The sequence below is a fragment of the Homo sapiens genome, chromosome 14 (genome assembly GCF_000001405.40).
Source record: "Homo sapiens chromosome 14, GRCh38.p14 Primary Assembly".
Lineage (NCBI taxonomy): Eukaryota > Metazoa > Chordata > Mammalia > Primates > Hominidae > Homo > Homo sapiens.
In genome coordinates this window covers 102,726,151-102,742,601 of record NC_000014.9, presented here as the reverse complement: position 1 = coordinate 102,742,601, position 16,451 = coordinate 102,726,151, and the positions used below count along the sequence as shown (strand labels likewise).

Genomic DNA, 16,451 nt, shown 5'->3' with positions numbered 1-16,451 from the left:
CAGGAGGCTGAGGCAGGAGAATTGCTTGAACCCGGTGGGCGGAGGTTGCAGTGAGCCAAGATCATGCCATTGCACTCCAGCCTGGGCAACAGAGTGAGATTCCATCTCAAAATAAATAAATAAATATATCAACTCAGCTGGATGCAGCGACTCATGCCTGTAATCCCAGAACTTTGGGAGGTCAAGGCAGGTGGATCTCTTGAGCCCAGGAGTTCAACACCAGCCTGAGCAACATGGTGAAACACTGTCTCTACAAAAAATTTAAAATTTGCTGAGCATGGTGGCACGTGCCTCTAGCCCCAGCTACTTGGGAGGCTGAGATGGGAGGATCACTTGAGCCCAGGAGATCAAGGCTGCAGTGAGCCCTGATTGTGCCACTGCCCTCCAGTCTGGGTGATGAAGCAAGACCCTATCTCTCTAAAATATAATAATAATAAATGAAAGGCACCAACTCACAGAGTTGAGCAGCTCAGTGAACCCCCCAGGAGCATAATGAAGCAGAACAAATGCAAAGCCACATCCAGGCAATCATCATCAACTAGATGAAAGCCCTAGACAAAGAAAAAAAATTTAAAACAGCCAGAGAAAAAAGGAATGTTGGCTGGGCGCGGTGGCTCACGCCTGTAATCCCAGCACTTTGGGAGGCCAAGGCAGGTGGATCACGAGGTCAGGAGTTTGAGACGAGCCTGACCAACACAGTGAAACCCCACCTCTACTAAAAATACAAAAATTAGCTGGGTGTGGTGGTGCATGCCTGTAATCCCAGCTACTTAGGAGGCTGAGGCAGGAGAATTGCTTGAACTCAGGAGGTAGAGTTTGCAGTGAGCTGAGATTGCACCACGGCACTCCAGCCTGGGAGACAGAGCGAGACTCTGTCTCAGAAAAAAAAAAAAAAAAAAAAAAGTAATGTTATTTTCAGAGAAGTAAAATGGTTGTGTGTTGACTTTTGCTTAAAACTATGGAAGCTAGAAGACAATGGAATTACATCCTTAATGTGCCAGAAGACAAAAATAAAACCCTAATATTTTACAAACAGAAAATTTATATTTTACATCTATCAAATATAAATGCAAAATAATGATGACTTTAGTTTTTTTTTTTTTGGCTTTTTTTTTTGAGATGGAGTCTTGCTCTGTTGCCTACGCTGGAGTGCAATGGTGCAATCTCTGCTCACTGCAACCTCCGCCTCCCGGGTTCAAGCAATTCCTCTGCCTCAGTTTCCTGAGTATCTGGGATTACAGGCACCTGCCACCATGCCTGGCTAATTTTTATATTTTTAGTAGAGATGGGGTTTCACCATGTTGGCCAGGCTGGTCTCAAACTCCTGACCTCAGGTGATCCATCTGCTCTAGCCTCCCAAAGTGCTGGGATTACAGACGTGAGCCACTGCACCCAGCCAGATTTTTTTTTTAAAGGAAAGAATTTAGCAACAGCAGACATGCACTGAAAAAAGTACTTAAGTTCTTGGGCCAGGCACAGTGACTCATACCTGTACTGCCAGCACTTTGGGAGGCCAAGGTGGGAGGACGACTTGAGGCCAGGAGTTTCAGACTAGCCCTGGCAACGTAGCAAGACCCTGTCTCTACAAAAAAAAGTTGAAAATTTAGCTGGGCTGGCCAGGCGCGGTGGCTTATGCCTGTAATCCCAGCTACTTGGGAGGCTGCGGTGGGAGAATCACTTGAACCCAGGAGATGGAGGTTGCAGTGAGCAGAGATTGTGCCACTGCACTCTTGAGCTCAGGAGTTCGAGACCAGCCTGGACAACATGGCAAAATCCTGTCTCTACAAAAAAAAATTAAAAGAAAAAAAATTAGCCAGGTGTGATTTGTGCCTGTAAGTCTCAGCTACTTGGGAGGCAGAGGTGGGAGGACTGCTTGAGCCCAGGAGGTTGAGGCTGCAGAGAACCGTGATTACACCACTGCACTCCAACCTGGGCAACAAAGCAAGACCTTGTCTCACACACAAAAAATTTAAAAATTAGCCAGTCACAGTGGCATGTGCCTGTACTTCCAGCTACTCGTAGGCGGGTTAGCAGGGGAACTGAAGTGGGAGGATCACTTGAGCCGGGAGGTCGAGGCTGTAGTGAACCATGATCGCACCACTGCACTCCAGCCTGGGCCACAGTGAGACCCTGTCTCAAATGAAACTTTAGTCTGGGTGCGGGTGGTTCACGCCTATAATCCCAGCACTCTGGGAGACCAAGGCGGGTGGATCACGAGGTCAAGAGACTGAGACCATTCTGGCCAACATGGTGAAACCCCATCTCTACTAAAAATACAAAAATTAGCCAGGTGTGTGGTGGGCACCTGTAGTCCCAGCTACTCAGGAGGCTGAGGCAGGAGAATGGCATGAACCCGGGAGGCAGAGGTTGCAGTGAGCTGAGATCACACCACTGCACTCCAGCCTGGCGATAGAGTGAGACTCCATCTCAAAAGAAAAAAAAAATTTTTTAAAAACCTATCATTATTAATTTTTGTATTCTTATCTTTACTGTTTTGATCAATGTCCTTTTTTTTAATGGCATGTTAGGCCAGTAGGAGGTCCTTTAGTTTGGCTCCCAAGTCCCTCGGACGTGACCCCATCATTTTGGGTGCTTCTTTGATCTCTGGCATCAGATTCCCAGGCTCCCCTTGTATACTTCCTTCCTCCCATAGCGAAATCCAGTCACTTCTCCAAAGAACATGGTTCCTTTCCGTGGGAAATGGCATTCAGAGACCACGATCCAGCTTTGGGGCGGGGAGGTGGAAAGGTGCAGGTCACAGTGCCCCTGCCAGCCTCTGCCTTCATGTGGCACATCCAGGGCCTACCTTCCCACTGTTGAAAGCCTTGGACCACCACTGAGTGGTAAAACTTGGCTCACGGATGAATCACGACCCCTAGCAGGGTGGGCTCGGCATCTCTGGAAGTCAGATCAATCACCGACAAAGCCTTCCTGGACTCTACACAGGGAGGGAGTCTCTGGGCTAGGGTGGGGTGAGGCCTGGGGTTACCTCCTGGCCCATCCCAGCACCCCAGGCTTGAATGGTGGCACAGTTCAGCCAACTAATCCAATCATAGGAAACCTGCTGCTACCCTCCCTGTGTGGATGTTTCCATTTCTCTGTCTCCCGACTGGAATTCAGGGTCCTTCAGGGCTGGAACCCTGTCTGTCTTGCTCATCACCTGCCCAAAGCTACATTGCAGGGGCTCAAGAAATGCTTTTGCTGACAAATGCCTCAAAGGCACGATTTCCTTTTACCAAGAAGGGACTCAACAACTGGAAGGACTCACATTGCAGAGCAGGGTTTGGAACCTGCCTCAGGCTGGCTGCCCCCAAGGCATCCCCGCCCCACCCTGCTGGGTCCCAGGAAAGCCTAAGGGCTGTGCAGAGCATGCAGCTCCGGGCACTTTGCTGGGACAGGCCTGCAGGGACACGGTCCTTACTGGCTACTCCCAGAAAGGCTGGGAACCTCCCCCAGCCCCATATGCCCCGCACCCCATCCCAGTTCAACTGATGTGGGAGGCAGCTGTGGATCTACCGGCCATTTGGTTGGGGAGGCAGCTGAGTGGCCACCTCCTCACCAGGGCATCCAAAGGGATAGGGCATGTACCTGGCTCTTGCCGGCCCCACTCAAATGGAGAAACAGAACACCAGGGGCGGGAGGGGCTTGTCTCACAGCACAGTGATTCAGGGACAGAATCCAAGCCCCTGATTCCTAGCCAGGCAAGATTCAGCTTCACAGAGCTGGAAGGTGCTGCAGCCCAATGTAGGCTGGGGCAGGAAGGCCAGGAGGATGTGGCCAGAGGAATGAGGGGTGGGGAGCGGGGAACACATTTCAATTCTGAATCTCCTTCATGAACAAGGCATTCAACCAAGAGGACCGAGGCTCAGCAGCCTGGAGGGCCGTGGAGAGGACAGCTACCAAGAAAGGCCTGGCAGCCACGTACACCCCCAACTAAATGTGTTCAGTCCACTCCGTGCAGGGGTCCTGAGGCTTGGCTCAGGATCTCATAGGTGAGGCTCCAAGGAGCTGCCAGGTTCTCTATAGGAAGGTGTTGCACTGGGAGCCCTGTGCCTTCAGCCCCAGAGAGGCAGAGGAGGTGGCATCCCAGCCTCTGAGGTAGGAGCTCACACTCACCCATGTGCTCACCAGGCAGGCTCTGGCATCCTCCACGAAGGCATCTGTGGCCTGCCACTGCGGGCTGTGCCTGCACACACCCAAGGACTCTGAAGTCTGGGAGCCCAGCCTTTTCTGCAGCCTGAAATTTGCCACAAATTCCCTGAGTCCCACTCCTCTCCAACCATCTCAGTTACCTATTGCCGTGGCAAATTGCTCCAGAACTTGGCTGAAAACACAGGCCATTTTACTTGCTCGCATCTTGTGGGTGAATAGTTGGAACGGGGCTTGCCTGGGTCACTCGTGTGGTCTCCTGGGTGCTCCATCAGGGCCTTCTGGCTTCAGATGGCTTCACACACAGGTTTGGTGGTTTGTGGTGGCTGTCAGCCTGACCACCTGTCTCCAGCAGGCTGTCCCAAGCTTCTTTACAGGGTAACAGAGTTTTCAGAAACAAGAGCAGGCAGGCCCTAAAGCTCATGTCAAGCCTGTGAAGGTTCCATTGATCAAAACAAGTCCATGACCCAGCCCAGAGTTGGTGGGTAAAGGGACGACACTAGGCAAGGACACTTGGAGGCATGATTCCTGGGGACCAGGACTGTAACAGTCTTTCTGAGAAAGGTGATCAGGGTGCAGCGGTCATTAGAGCCGCTCCTGCAATCAGGGCCGGGCAAGGGCAGAATCCTGCTGTGGAGGCTGTGTAGTGGTACACTCAGCCTGCAGTGCTGAGTGGGCCACCACTCTGTGGGCACCCACGAGGTCTTCGACTCGGTGCTGCAGGCCCTGGCCTCATGGCACTGATGGCCAGTACTCCGTGGGCACCCATGAGGTCTTTGACTCAGTGGCCCAGGGCTGCAGAGGAGCCCAGACTCACACTCCAGGAAGGAAGAGGCCGGTGGGGTCGATCTCAATGGCTACGCAGCGTGTCAACAAGGGCCTGAAAAAGCTCAAGGGCCAATGGGTCCACTTGAGACAGCCTGGGGCTGTGGGTGGAAAGGTGGAGGAGACGGAGGGGTAATGACCAGGGCATAGCTGCAGAGGGCTGGCTTCCAGTTTGGGTCGGCCCTGGCAACCACCCAGGATTTGGGTAAGGTGCTCTCTGCTAGAAGCAGGAAAGCTGAAGCACACCTACTGTACCCCTGCGATGAGACGAAATCCAGGCTTATAAGGGATGTTCGCCAGTGGGGCACCCCACAGCCAGTCCCATCAAGAGGACATCCCTGCAGTGGTCCTTAGGGTCTGTGACCCAAGACCCAAGGGGCTGTAGTCGCTGTAGCTGGCTGTGGGGAGGTTCAGGACAGGCTCAGCTATGGGCTGTAGCCCAGCTGAAGGGGTCTACCTTCCCTCCACTTACCAGTGACCCTGGAAGCCAAGCTCAGTGGAGGAGTTCTGTTTCAAAGCCAGTCCACCTGGGTCCCCAGCCCATGCCTCCGTGTAGGAGCTGAGTGACCCTGGGCAAGTCACTTTGACTCTCTGGCCTCAGTTCCCCACTCTGAGAAGTGGGAGCCTGACAGCACATAGTCATCCCAGCCTCAGGACAGCAATGGCCTGGGCCTAGAATCGTGGGTGCACGAGGAAAACGGCGTGTTAGTGTGACCGATGTTGAACAAACTGGTTATGAACAGTGCCTGTAAGTAAGTTTATAAATGAATACACACAGGCAGGGCGTCGTGGCTCACACCTGTAATCCCAGTATTTTGGGAGGCCAAGGCGGGCGGATCACGAGGTCAAGAGATTGAGACCATCCTGGCCAACATGGTGAAACCCTGTCTCTACTAAAATTACAAAAATTAGCTGGGTGTGGTGGCGCGTGCCAGTGGTCCCAGCTACTCGGGAGGCTGAGGCAGGAGAATCGCTTGAACTCGGGAGGCAGAGGTTGCAGTGAGCCGAGATCACGCCATTGCACGCCAGCCTGGCAACAGAGACTCTGTCTCAAAAAAAAAAAAATTGCTATCTCTGGAGGCAGAAATAATGAAAAAGAAAAAAGAAATGCCCATTATCCTTTCTCTGCATGTGAGGAGACAGGCCTAGAGAAGTTAAGGGCGTGAATGAGATCAAGAAGATTTCACAGTGGAGTGAGGGCTTGAGTCAGCATCCGAGAGAGTGACAGAGGCTGTAAGGTGGGCTACGGTTTTAGGTGCTTCTGGCCCAGCTCTGGCACTTGCTAGTTGCATGATGTGGGCAAGACACGTTTCTCTAAGTCTTGGCTTCCTCTTCTATAGAACAGAGATAATGACAGTCCCTACTTGTGAGGTTAACATAAAGATTAAATTATGAAATGCATGCTTGGTCCTTAGGGGCAAAGCAGTCACCAATAAATCTAGCAATTATTACTAAAAAACATAAATAATTTGCTATATAGCAAAAGACACACTTAAAATTATTTATATATTTATTTAGTTTTTTGAGACAGGGTCCTACTGTCGCCCAGGCTGGAGTGCAGGGGCGCGCCTGTAAACCCAGCTACTTCGGAGTAGTAGCAACTTGGCACGCCATTCTCCTGCCTCAGCCTCCCGAGTAGCTGGGACTACAGGCGCCCGCCACTACAGATGGGGTTTCACCGTGTTAGCCAGGATGGTCTCGATCTCCAGACCTCATGATCCACCCGCCTCAGCCTCCCAAAGTGCTGGGATTACAGGCGTGAGCCACTGCACCTGGCCTGAACCACACAAAATTCTAATACCCTCCATTGACAAGGAAACAGCCTACTTGACTGCAAGGGGCCAGTTCCTCCTGTGCTGCCACTCACCCTTGCCCGGGCGAGCCGCTGTCCTTATTCAACTGTCCCTTCCTCCCGGATGCCTTCCCCATGACTGCGCAGGTGGGACCATCCCTTCCTGCTTCCAGTGTAGTTGTGAGAAGCACTACCTGCCCCATCTTGGCAGGAAGGTGTCTTCAGCTTGTCCAGGCCAGAACTTGGCCAATCTCCTCACATGTATCAGCCAGCCAACTCCCCATTAAGGAGCGTGGATGGTAAGAAGGGCACCAAGGAATGGAGGGAGGGGGAGGACTTAGAATCCGGAATTCAATCTCATTTAAAATCTACAGCCAGGTGCAGTGGCTTACGCCTATAATCTCAACCCTTTGGGAGGCTGAGGTGGGTGGATCACTTGAGGTCAGGAGTTCAAGACTAGCCTGGGCAGCATGGAGAAACCCCGTCTCTACTAAAAATACAAAATTAGCCAGGTGTGGCGGCACTCGCCTATAGTCCCAGCTACTCGGGAGGCTGAGGCAGGAGAATCACTTGAACCTGGGAGGTGGAGGTTGCAGTGACCCAAGATGACGCCACTGCACTCCAGCCTGGGCAACAAAGTGAGACTCTGTCTCAAAACAAAAACAAAAACAGTTAACTGGGCGTGGTGGTGCATGCATGCCTGTAGTCCCAGCTACTTGGGAGGCTGAGGCATGAGAATCACTTGAACTTGGGAGGTGCAGGTTCTAATGCGCCAAGCTCCCACCACTGCACTCCAGCCTGGGCGACAGAGCAAGACCCTGTTTCAAAAAAAAAAAAATCTACAATCACCAGGCCTTCAGATTTGAATGTTTCTTCCCCTAGTCCTTTGGCAATAAATACCTAAGTAGCAGACAGCTCAATAAACAAGAAAAAGGCCCAGAAAACCCTAAGCCTCAGCTAATTCCTCTCTGGACACCCAGGAATTGGCAGCTGGGAATCCCACTCCCTGGGAGTCACTCATAAGCCATGGCAGGGCCTTTGATCCGTAAGCACGGGGCCAGCAGGCGTTTATTTTTCCTCCGCAATGCACCCGATTTCTCTATTCCGTTACTACACATCTATGTGCCTATTATTCCCAGCTGTGGGGAACTAGAGCACAACAGTGCTGACCTCAAGGAGCTCAATCTAGAGAGCCCGACAGCTTATCAAACACCTCAGATCAAAATGTGCAATTATCACAGCGTTAGCAAGGGCGTGGGGCAACAAGCGGCCTTGTTCACGCAGACAGGAGAAACTGATGCAACTGCTCTGGAAGGCCAGTGAGCAGTACGTATCAAATGGAAAAATGAACCAGATCTTTTCATCCAGAGATTCTATTTATCCTGCAACTACACTGGCACATAGGTGAAGTGACGTGATTTCCATTCTGCTGATGTTACAAAGGATACTTCTGTGCCTGTCAATTGACGATGGTTTCCATAAATCATTTCCGCCATAAATGGAATACCATGAAGCCAATACAAAGGAATGAAGCAGCTTTATTTTTTATTTTTTGAGGCACAGTCTCACTCTGTCACTCAGGCTGGAGTGCAGTGGCGCGATCTCGGCTCACTGCAACCTCCACATCCTGGGTTCAAGTGATTCTCCTGCCTCAGCCTCTCGAGTGGCTGGGATTACAGGTGTGCACCACCATGCCCAGCGATTTTTTTTTGTATTTTTAGTAGAGATGGGGTTTTACCATGTTGGCCAGGCTGGTCTCAAACTCCTGACCTCAGGTAATCCACCCGCCTTGGCCTCCCAAAGTGTTGGGATTACAGGCGTGAGCCACTGCGCCCGGCCCACAGTGACTTTAGACATATGTGCTGATGCAGGAAGGCTAAGAAGACTATCAGTGTGTCAGGTGGGCAAAGCTAGTGTGTAGAGTATGTCATTTGTGTGCACACATGCATGCCCGCAAATGTGTGATCATCCCTTGAGGGATATGCAAGGAACTGGCAGCAATGGCCGCCTATGGAGAGAACTAGGTGATCAGAGGACAGGGATGAGAAACTCACACTTCACGTAGGCCTTTTATACCAGGAACGCTAGTTAACTATTTCTAAAATAAAAATTTAAAATCACTTCATTACAGTTAGCACAAAGAGGTCAGCACAGAATGAGGCTTAAGTTGTAGAGGCCCCAAGAATCAGTCCCCCTGCAGAAGGTGGAGGAAGGGGTTCGTCAGGACCAGAGACGGACGGGGACGCATGACTGGGCCCGGGGCAGGCCGAGCTGAAGGGAAGGTGCCTGGCCGCACCCCTGAAGTCAGGTTAGGGCAGAATGAAGGGCTGTGCATTTTCTGGGAGACAGATGCAATGCTTTCCGCTTTCCACAGGAGAGGTCCCTGATTAGGTGGGGGGTGGGAGAGAAAAGGCAAGAGGAATGGTGGGGATTAGGGGCAGGTTAGTTAGGAGGCCGCGGCACCCCCTCGGGTGGGAAGAAGGACTTGTGCTGTCCCTGGCAGTAGTGATCGATCAAAGTGCTTCTAACTTGGCGACCAGATACACAGCAGTGTCACACACCACAGAAGATGCAGAAACAGGTGCCGGGGAAAAGGGTTTTAGTCTCAGACTTTGTGTAATTTGGAGGCACGGATGGGCATGGGGGTGGAGTGGTCCAGGGGCAGCTGAGCTCTGGGAACAGGGCTTTAGGTGTGAGCGCTGTGGAGTCCTCAGGTGCTGACGGAGCACCCAGGCAGTTGGGAAACGGTGAAGGGAGGGTGAGCTGGCAGAGCGGGCAGGCAAGCGGATGCTTCAAGGCCTGTGACTGTGCTCCTGCTTCTGGGACAACAGGAAAGTGTACTTGGGGGGCTCTCTTGGGGGGTGGGTTCCATTCAGCCCAGAACCAAAGGATCGGCTGGGCGTGGTGGCTCACACCTGTAATCCCAACACTTTGGGAAGCCAAGGTGGGGGGATCACATGAGGTCAGGAGTTCGAGACCAGCCTGGCCAACCCAGTGAAACCCCATCTCTACTAAAAATACAAAAATTAGCTGGGCATGGTGGTGCGCACCTGTAATCCCAGCTACTCAGGAGGCTGGGGCAGGAGAATTGCTTGAACCCGGGAGGTGGCTGCTGCAGAGAGGAGATCATGCCACTGCACTCCAGCCTGGGCAACAGAGCAAGATTCAATCTCAAAAAAAAAAAAAAAAAGACCCCAAAACAAAGAATAAGTCAGGGTCATCCATGAGCTAGTCTGGGCCCAAATGATGCCCCAGGCATGGCCTCTGATCTGTCGAGAAGGCAAGCAATTTGCATAGAGCCTCAAATACCTGTCAGCTCCAAGAGTCAGTGCCTAGCATGTGCTTGGCGCGTGGGAAGCACGGTGCTTGGGAGCTGCAGGGAAGGGAGCTTCTGAGAGCCAGCACCTGCCTCCAAGCAGTGCAGCTGCTCCCCGTTGGGCGTGGGTACTATGGCCTTTCCAGCAGTGTCAGCACCAAGTGCTCTCAAGATCTCTCCCTCCCATAAGCTGAAAGGCTGGGACAGGCCTGGCAGGGACCTCACCAGGCCTCTCCCGAGCCTTGTAATTCTCACTGTGGTGCTGTCTTGGCCTAGATTCCCCGCAAAAGCAGAGCCTGAGATGAGGCTTTGTGGGTAAATGGTTTGCTTTAGAAACCAATCCCAGGCAACAGAAGTAGGGGGCCAGAAAAAGTGAGGCAGGGAAGGAGAATCAGTCCTAGACCATTTCTGAGCTGGTCTCTGCAGGGGGCCGCTGAGGGGGAGCTGCTGTCTATGGCTGCCTTACCCAGATTACCCAGAGCTGCCCCTGGGGATGGAGCTCCCTGCTACTTCCAGGCTGCTGTTCCTGAGCTCCCCTAGGTCACCTACCTCAGGGTGCTGCAGTCACACCTGTCTGAAGCCGGGGTTGTGGGGAGGGCCAAGATGATGGGAAGTGAGGCACAGAGGCGCCTCATCTACACCTGTATACAGGTGTTTTTTTCCCCCTCAGTCCGAGAAAAGGGAGCTGGAGCCAGGGCCTCCATGTGTCTGACTCGGGACTCACAGCCCGCCTGCTATCCCTTCCTATCCTGTGCCCTTGCACGCGCTCAAGTTAGGCCAGTCTTTGAGAGGGGCTCTCCCTCAACCCTCCATAGCTCCCTCTTCCCAGCCTCAGCCATCGCCCGGGGTTCTTTGAAGTCACTAAAGGCCAAGTCCAAATGGCTCCACCTTCAGTGCCCAACCTAGCAGATGTCCAGCAGCATCTTGGCAGGGGGCCACCTTGGCCTCAACCTTCCTCCTCTCTGTCCTTGGCACTCATTTCCTCTTGTTCTAGACCACAAGCCACCTTCACAAATCACAGCGGAGGTCCCAACACTCTTGGCCTCGGCCCCTAGGTGCCACCCTCACCCAAGCAGACCCTCTCCCCTTTCCACAGGCTCAGCTCCGGGACAGGCACTCTCTAAATTAGATGCGAGGCAGCTGCAGCCTCCCTCCCAGACCTGCCTGTAGCTGTGGCTCCACTCGCCGTGGTGCTGACTGCTGTCACCTGGAGGATATGTGCAGTGTCCTCCACTAGACTGTCCACGCTGGGAAGGCTGGACCCGGTCACCCTTCTACAACCCTCCTACACTGTGCAGTCACACACAGGGGCCCCATCTGCCTGGACCTAGAAATTGGGTTTCTATAGAAGTTATCTAGTGAGCAAGCTCAGTGGCACAATGGATAGTGCACTGGACTTCTAGCCCCAATCTACAGTAGTCATCTAATCAAATTCTACATCCCAGCTAATAAAGGGAAGACCATGAGACCACAGCCACCGCCAGCTTCTTCACGCTACTCAGGAAACTACCGGCACTGGTGTGCATGCACTCTTGGCTGAGCAGAGGCCACAGCGGCAGTGATCTTGCCTCTGCACTGCCACCATCCTGCCTCCAGGTATCAGGCCAAAAGCCTGGTCAGGCTGAAAAAAGAAAATCCACCCATGGGGGGAAAAATGCCTCTTACTGAACCCTTGCATTTAAACCCACAACTATCACAAACTTTATGAATTCATGTGCTTCAACTTGATTCCAACTATAAAATTATCATATATAAAAAAGAATGTCAGTTCAGGTAGAGCAAAAGGCTAAAAACAAAAGGCATCCCTGGCAGTGTTTCCACAGGGTCTGATTTGGAAGAAATTCAACATTTGGAAACCCCAAGCCTCACTTAAAAGGAAAGAAAGAACCCCACTTTGTTACAGGGAAGGGTACTGCTTTGATGGAGCGTGGGGGTGCAGAAAATGCTTTCATTTCATATTTTATTACATCAATGGCTTGAAAATTTTTATTTAACCTCAGCAAATATTGGAAATAGAAAAATGAATTCTGCAGAATTTCACAAATAAATTTTCCAATTTCCACTAACAAATGTTATCATTCAATGGCTAAGCAGTTATAATGCTATGAACATTCACCACAATGAATGTGCTGAAATAGAAAACAGGCAAAGAGACATTAAAATATTACTTACAACAGCATTATTACAACATATTTTCTTTAAAATTCCAACGTGGATTTCATCACTTCAAAAGATATACAGCATTTCCATTATATTTGCAAACTTAACCTTATACATCTTTTAAAATCTTGAAAATTTTTTAAGCTGTCTAAAAAGCACTTAGCAAAGTCGATAAGTCTACCTAATGGAATACTATCCACCCCGGTATAAATTTCGTTTTAGGAGAAGGTGGCTGTAAACACTCATCATCACACAACATGCATAGCCTCTGCTGACCTTCCCTTCTTCTGAATGCGACGCCACTGCAATTGTGCTTTACTACAGGTAAGACAGGTAAGAGAAGCTGCAGAGATTCAGGGACTGGCAGAAAGAGCATCGCACAGGACCACTAGGTTTAGGTGACCTGGCTACCTGGAGTCCATCTGAGGAAAGTTTCACTTGACAATAGAAGCTTGAATCCTGGATCATTCGGTTTAGAAACAGGCTAGACAAGAGAGAAAAAGAGGCCCTCGTTGGAGTTGGCTCCATCTTTCCTTAGCTCACATAAAAGCAGGGATCCAGTTAGCGTAATGCACTGTTTGGCTTATTTTTGGTGTGCAATTATACCAATAGTACATCTGATATTTAGAATGACAAAAATAGGGTATCGTTGAAATTTAAAGTGACAATGAGCACACTTAACAGTGGTCTGTGGTATCTGAGGAAACTTTAGATGAACAGAAAGCCACTGTTTTATGAGTCCACCCCAGTAAGCTGTTACAACCCAACTAACTACCTTTTCATGTTTGTTTTGTGTGTTGAATAGAGGTTTGTGAGCATCAGAACGTCTTATAGGTTAAAAACAATCAAAAACCATTTTGAGGAAGTGGCGTCTCCACAAACACTGTACACCCAGACAACGCGGCATTTGTGTTACACTAGCACCCGACTGTGTGCCAACACTAATGTAATCGGCACAACTGGGGTGTGGTTCCTTCCCAGTTAAAAGAGCTATATTACAGAATGGATCACTGTTGCAGACCAGTCAACACAATATTCAAGTAACAAGGTGTTTAAATGGATAAGTGAAAAAAATTTTACCTAACACTTCACACATCTACATAAAATTAAATAAAACAAACTTTTAATGCATATGCAATACAATTTATATCTTTTAGGAGTTCTAAACTAAAAGTTAAACTATTATTTGCATCAATGACACTATATTTTGCACAATAACTTATACTTAGGAGAAAATTTTCCACAAAAATATATATAATTATGACATTCACATTGATAATTTTTAAGAAGACAAAGCTTAAGTGAACATTCCATCTGAAGCAGTTATCACACCCCAAACCCTACCTGCCAATGCACCTAATTCTTGATATGTTAAAAAGTCTTCATATAAATAAGATCAAACCACTGCGCTTTTAAAGCTAAGTGATTTCTTACATTTACATCATTGCAAAGACAGTGTAATGCAACAGTTTAAAACACAGTGCTATCTTACGCGGGAAAGCACAACAAAGGCAGTCAAGGACAGCTCCCATTTTCCCTCTGTCAAATAAAAATGACATGCCCCTTCCTCTCGGGGAGAAAGCCCAGGTCAGCTGCTGTGATCACACGTGATTCTTCAGGGCTGGAGACCATTCAGTGCCAGGAACCAAGTAAAGGGATAGTGCAGAATACAGATCAAGGCCTGGCACTGCTGGTCAGTTTGCCACGCTATATAAAAATTAGCATCAAGCTTCCAAGCACTGCCAGGAGGGACCAGGCTATTTTCCTTAACAGAGATACAGACAGACCTATTGGCAGGGTGAGAAACGCACTGCAGCAATTGCCTACTGCTTCTGTTAGCAAGAAGGAGGTCTTGAGGGAAGCACGGAGAACCTAAAGCTTCAGCTCATACCTTAGTGTACCCTTTATGCAATGTGCAAACTTAGGCTGACTCCTTCCCATGCTTCTCCTGCCGCCCTCGGTGTACACAGCAGGCTTATGGTGAAAAGAAGCCTCTCCCTCATCACTAGTGTTATTTTGCTAACCCTGTCTCCAGGTAGCAGCAGCAATCCGGGACTCCTCTGATGCTTCCCAGGCTTTTACGTGACCAACACACACCTGGCACGGGAACGAGATGATGAAGGGCAGCAAGTCCCATTGTACTTTCCTTTTGAATGACCTTTCTCTCCAGACTATACTAAAAAAAAATTTACAATTCCAAAAAACCTAGGTTTCTAGCTGACCCTCTTTCTAAAGAGAAAATCAGCTGACTTCAACAACAACAACAACAACAAAAAACAAGGTGCTTGGGAGACAAAACATATCAAACTTTAATTGCATATTTTAAATTCTTCAGAATTCTGTTTAGGCCTTAAAGCATCTGCATTTTTTTGGTATTGAAAGCAGGAAAAAAATCCAAATGATGCAAACAACAACAACAACAACAAAAGCGACTTCAGCGTATTGAGTGCAGTCTGAATGGCCGTGGGGTGGGAACAGGGTATGTTAGAATGCAGGCTGTCTGCTCAACCCTCAGCAGGCCCATGGTCTGATAAGATAACAAAAGTGATTCTGGAAGTCTCAAAATGTTTATTAGAAATTTTTACTTGTTCCCAGTCCAACCAAAAGGCATTACAGACCACTCTGTAGGTTATTTCTTTTCATCTCAGTCTCACTAGACCAATACATTGATCACTTCTCTGTCCTGTACTCTGATATGAAAAGAGAGTGCATGGTGTTTGTGTAATCACATCAGCACATGAAGGACACAAACTGACATACAGAGTGCCACATAAAAGGCCAGGCACACCGAGAGAACGCGGAACAACGCGCAGCTTTCATAAACCAGCGCCAGCTATTCTAATATCCTGACATTTAAAATCTGCACTGTCAGAATCTGCAGCAAGCTCTCCCCTGTCTCCTAATCTCAGTGATGTCATCTTTGGCTAGCAAATAACTTGAAAGAAGAAATAAGACACTAAAACAGAAAAAGGATTGATAACCATGGTTGCCAAAAGGAGAAGGCACCAATTCCAAATTTACAAGCACCAGGTACAGTGATGTGGGCCGAACCTCTTGGAGGTGGGGGGGTGGGGGGGGTCAGGAAAAGATGGGGTGGCAACCACCCTGGGGTCACAATGCTGAAAAGTTGAAGGCAGAAAGCATTGAGGTCCACGTTCCCTTTAAGCTACAGTGTCCAACGACAGTTGCAGTAAATGATCTTTGTAACACTTGGGAAGGGAGAAGAGGGAGATTTAAGCCAACTCAATTTATAAATCATAACTGTACCCCATGTTTAGGGAAATGTGAGTTGCATCAGGATGCTTGGCATGATAAAGGTTATGATGCAGTCTGGCAATATATATTAGTTTCCAAAAAAGCGTATTATCACTTAGGTGGTTGTCTCAGAAAAGAACAAAAGAAACTTTCTAGAAGGCCAACAGGGTCGCGGTGACTCTGAAAATGACTCTATGCACAAAGTAGAAACTGCAGGCCATGCAGGAACAGAGTCGGGCCTTCCAAGGAGACTGCCTGCTCTGAAGCTGCTGACTGGGAAGAGCTGCCATTGGTGGGGCTCGGGGGCTCCGGCGGGAGAGGCGGTTCCCAGAGTCACAAGAGATGTGCAGGCCGTGAGACTTCCCCAGCACGTGGGCAGAGTGTGAGATGCAGTGGAGCTCTCTGGGAAGTGGCGCCAACATGGAGGAACGAGCAAAGAATTAAGGCAGATGGAGCACAGGACTGGAAGTATATGCCTTTTTTGGTAATAGCTGCTTGTCCAGAGAGATGTGATGCAGATGGCTAGGTGATGTCTCATAATACCTGATATCCCGGATAACACAGTAGTCCACACCAAGTGTTCAAAGCCACCAGTTTCTCAGGAGGCAGATGCATATCTGACATCCAGAACAGGAGCCTGAGGCCAAGAGGAAAAAAAAAAAAAAAAGGATCAAAGAGTAGGTAAACAACACAAGCTGCTATTTCCAGTGTACTGAAAAGAGAAGGTAGCCAGCAAACCTGCAGAGCAAACACCGAGTTCTTTTTTTTTTTTTTGGAGGGGAGACAGGTCTCACTCTGTCTCCCAGGCTGGAGTGCAGTGGCGCTATCTCGGCTCGCTGCAACCTCCGCCTCCTGGGTCAAGCGATTCCTCTGCCTCAGCCTCTCAAGTAGCCGCAACTACAGGCACCTGCCTCCACGCCCAGCTAATTTTTGTACCTTCAGTAGAGACGGGGT

The 16,451-nt window shown here is 49.6% G+C and overlaps 1 protein-coding gene across 1 annotated transcript in view, besides 1 other annotated feature; it reads right to left on the bottom strand.

Annotated features, from left to right (window-relative positions):
- Positions 3,967 to 4,468: an enhancer, noted in NCBI's record as "H3K4me1 hESC enhancer chr14:103204471-103204972 (GRCh37/hg19 assembly coordinates)". NCBI's record gives its function as "activates a minimal SCP1, AML or CMV promoter by ChIP-STARR-seq in primed H9 embryonic stem cells {active_cell/tissue: H9 hESC(primed)}" and the evidence as "EXISTENCE:reporter gene assay evidence [ECO:0000049][PMID:30033119]".
- RCOR1 (REST corepressor 1) overlaps positions 12,041 to 16,451 on the bottom strand; it is a 137,913-nt gene continuing 133,502 nt past the window's right edge. Inside the window, exon 12 of the mRNA NM_015156.4 lies at positions 12,041 to 16,134. Coding sequence (NP_055971.2) covers positions 16,096 to 16,134 — 39 coding nt within the window. The 3' untranslated portion in view covers positions 12,041 to 16,095. The remainder of the gene's footprint in view (positions 16,135 to 16,451) is intronic.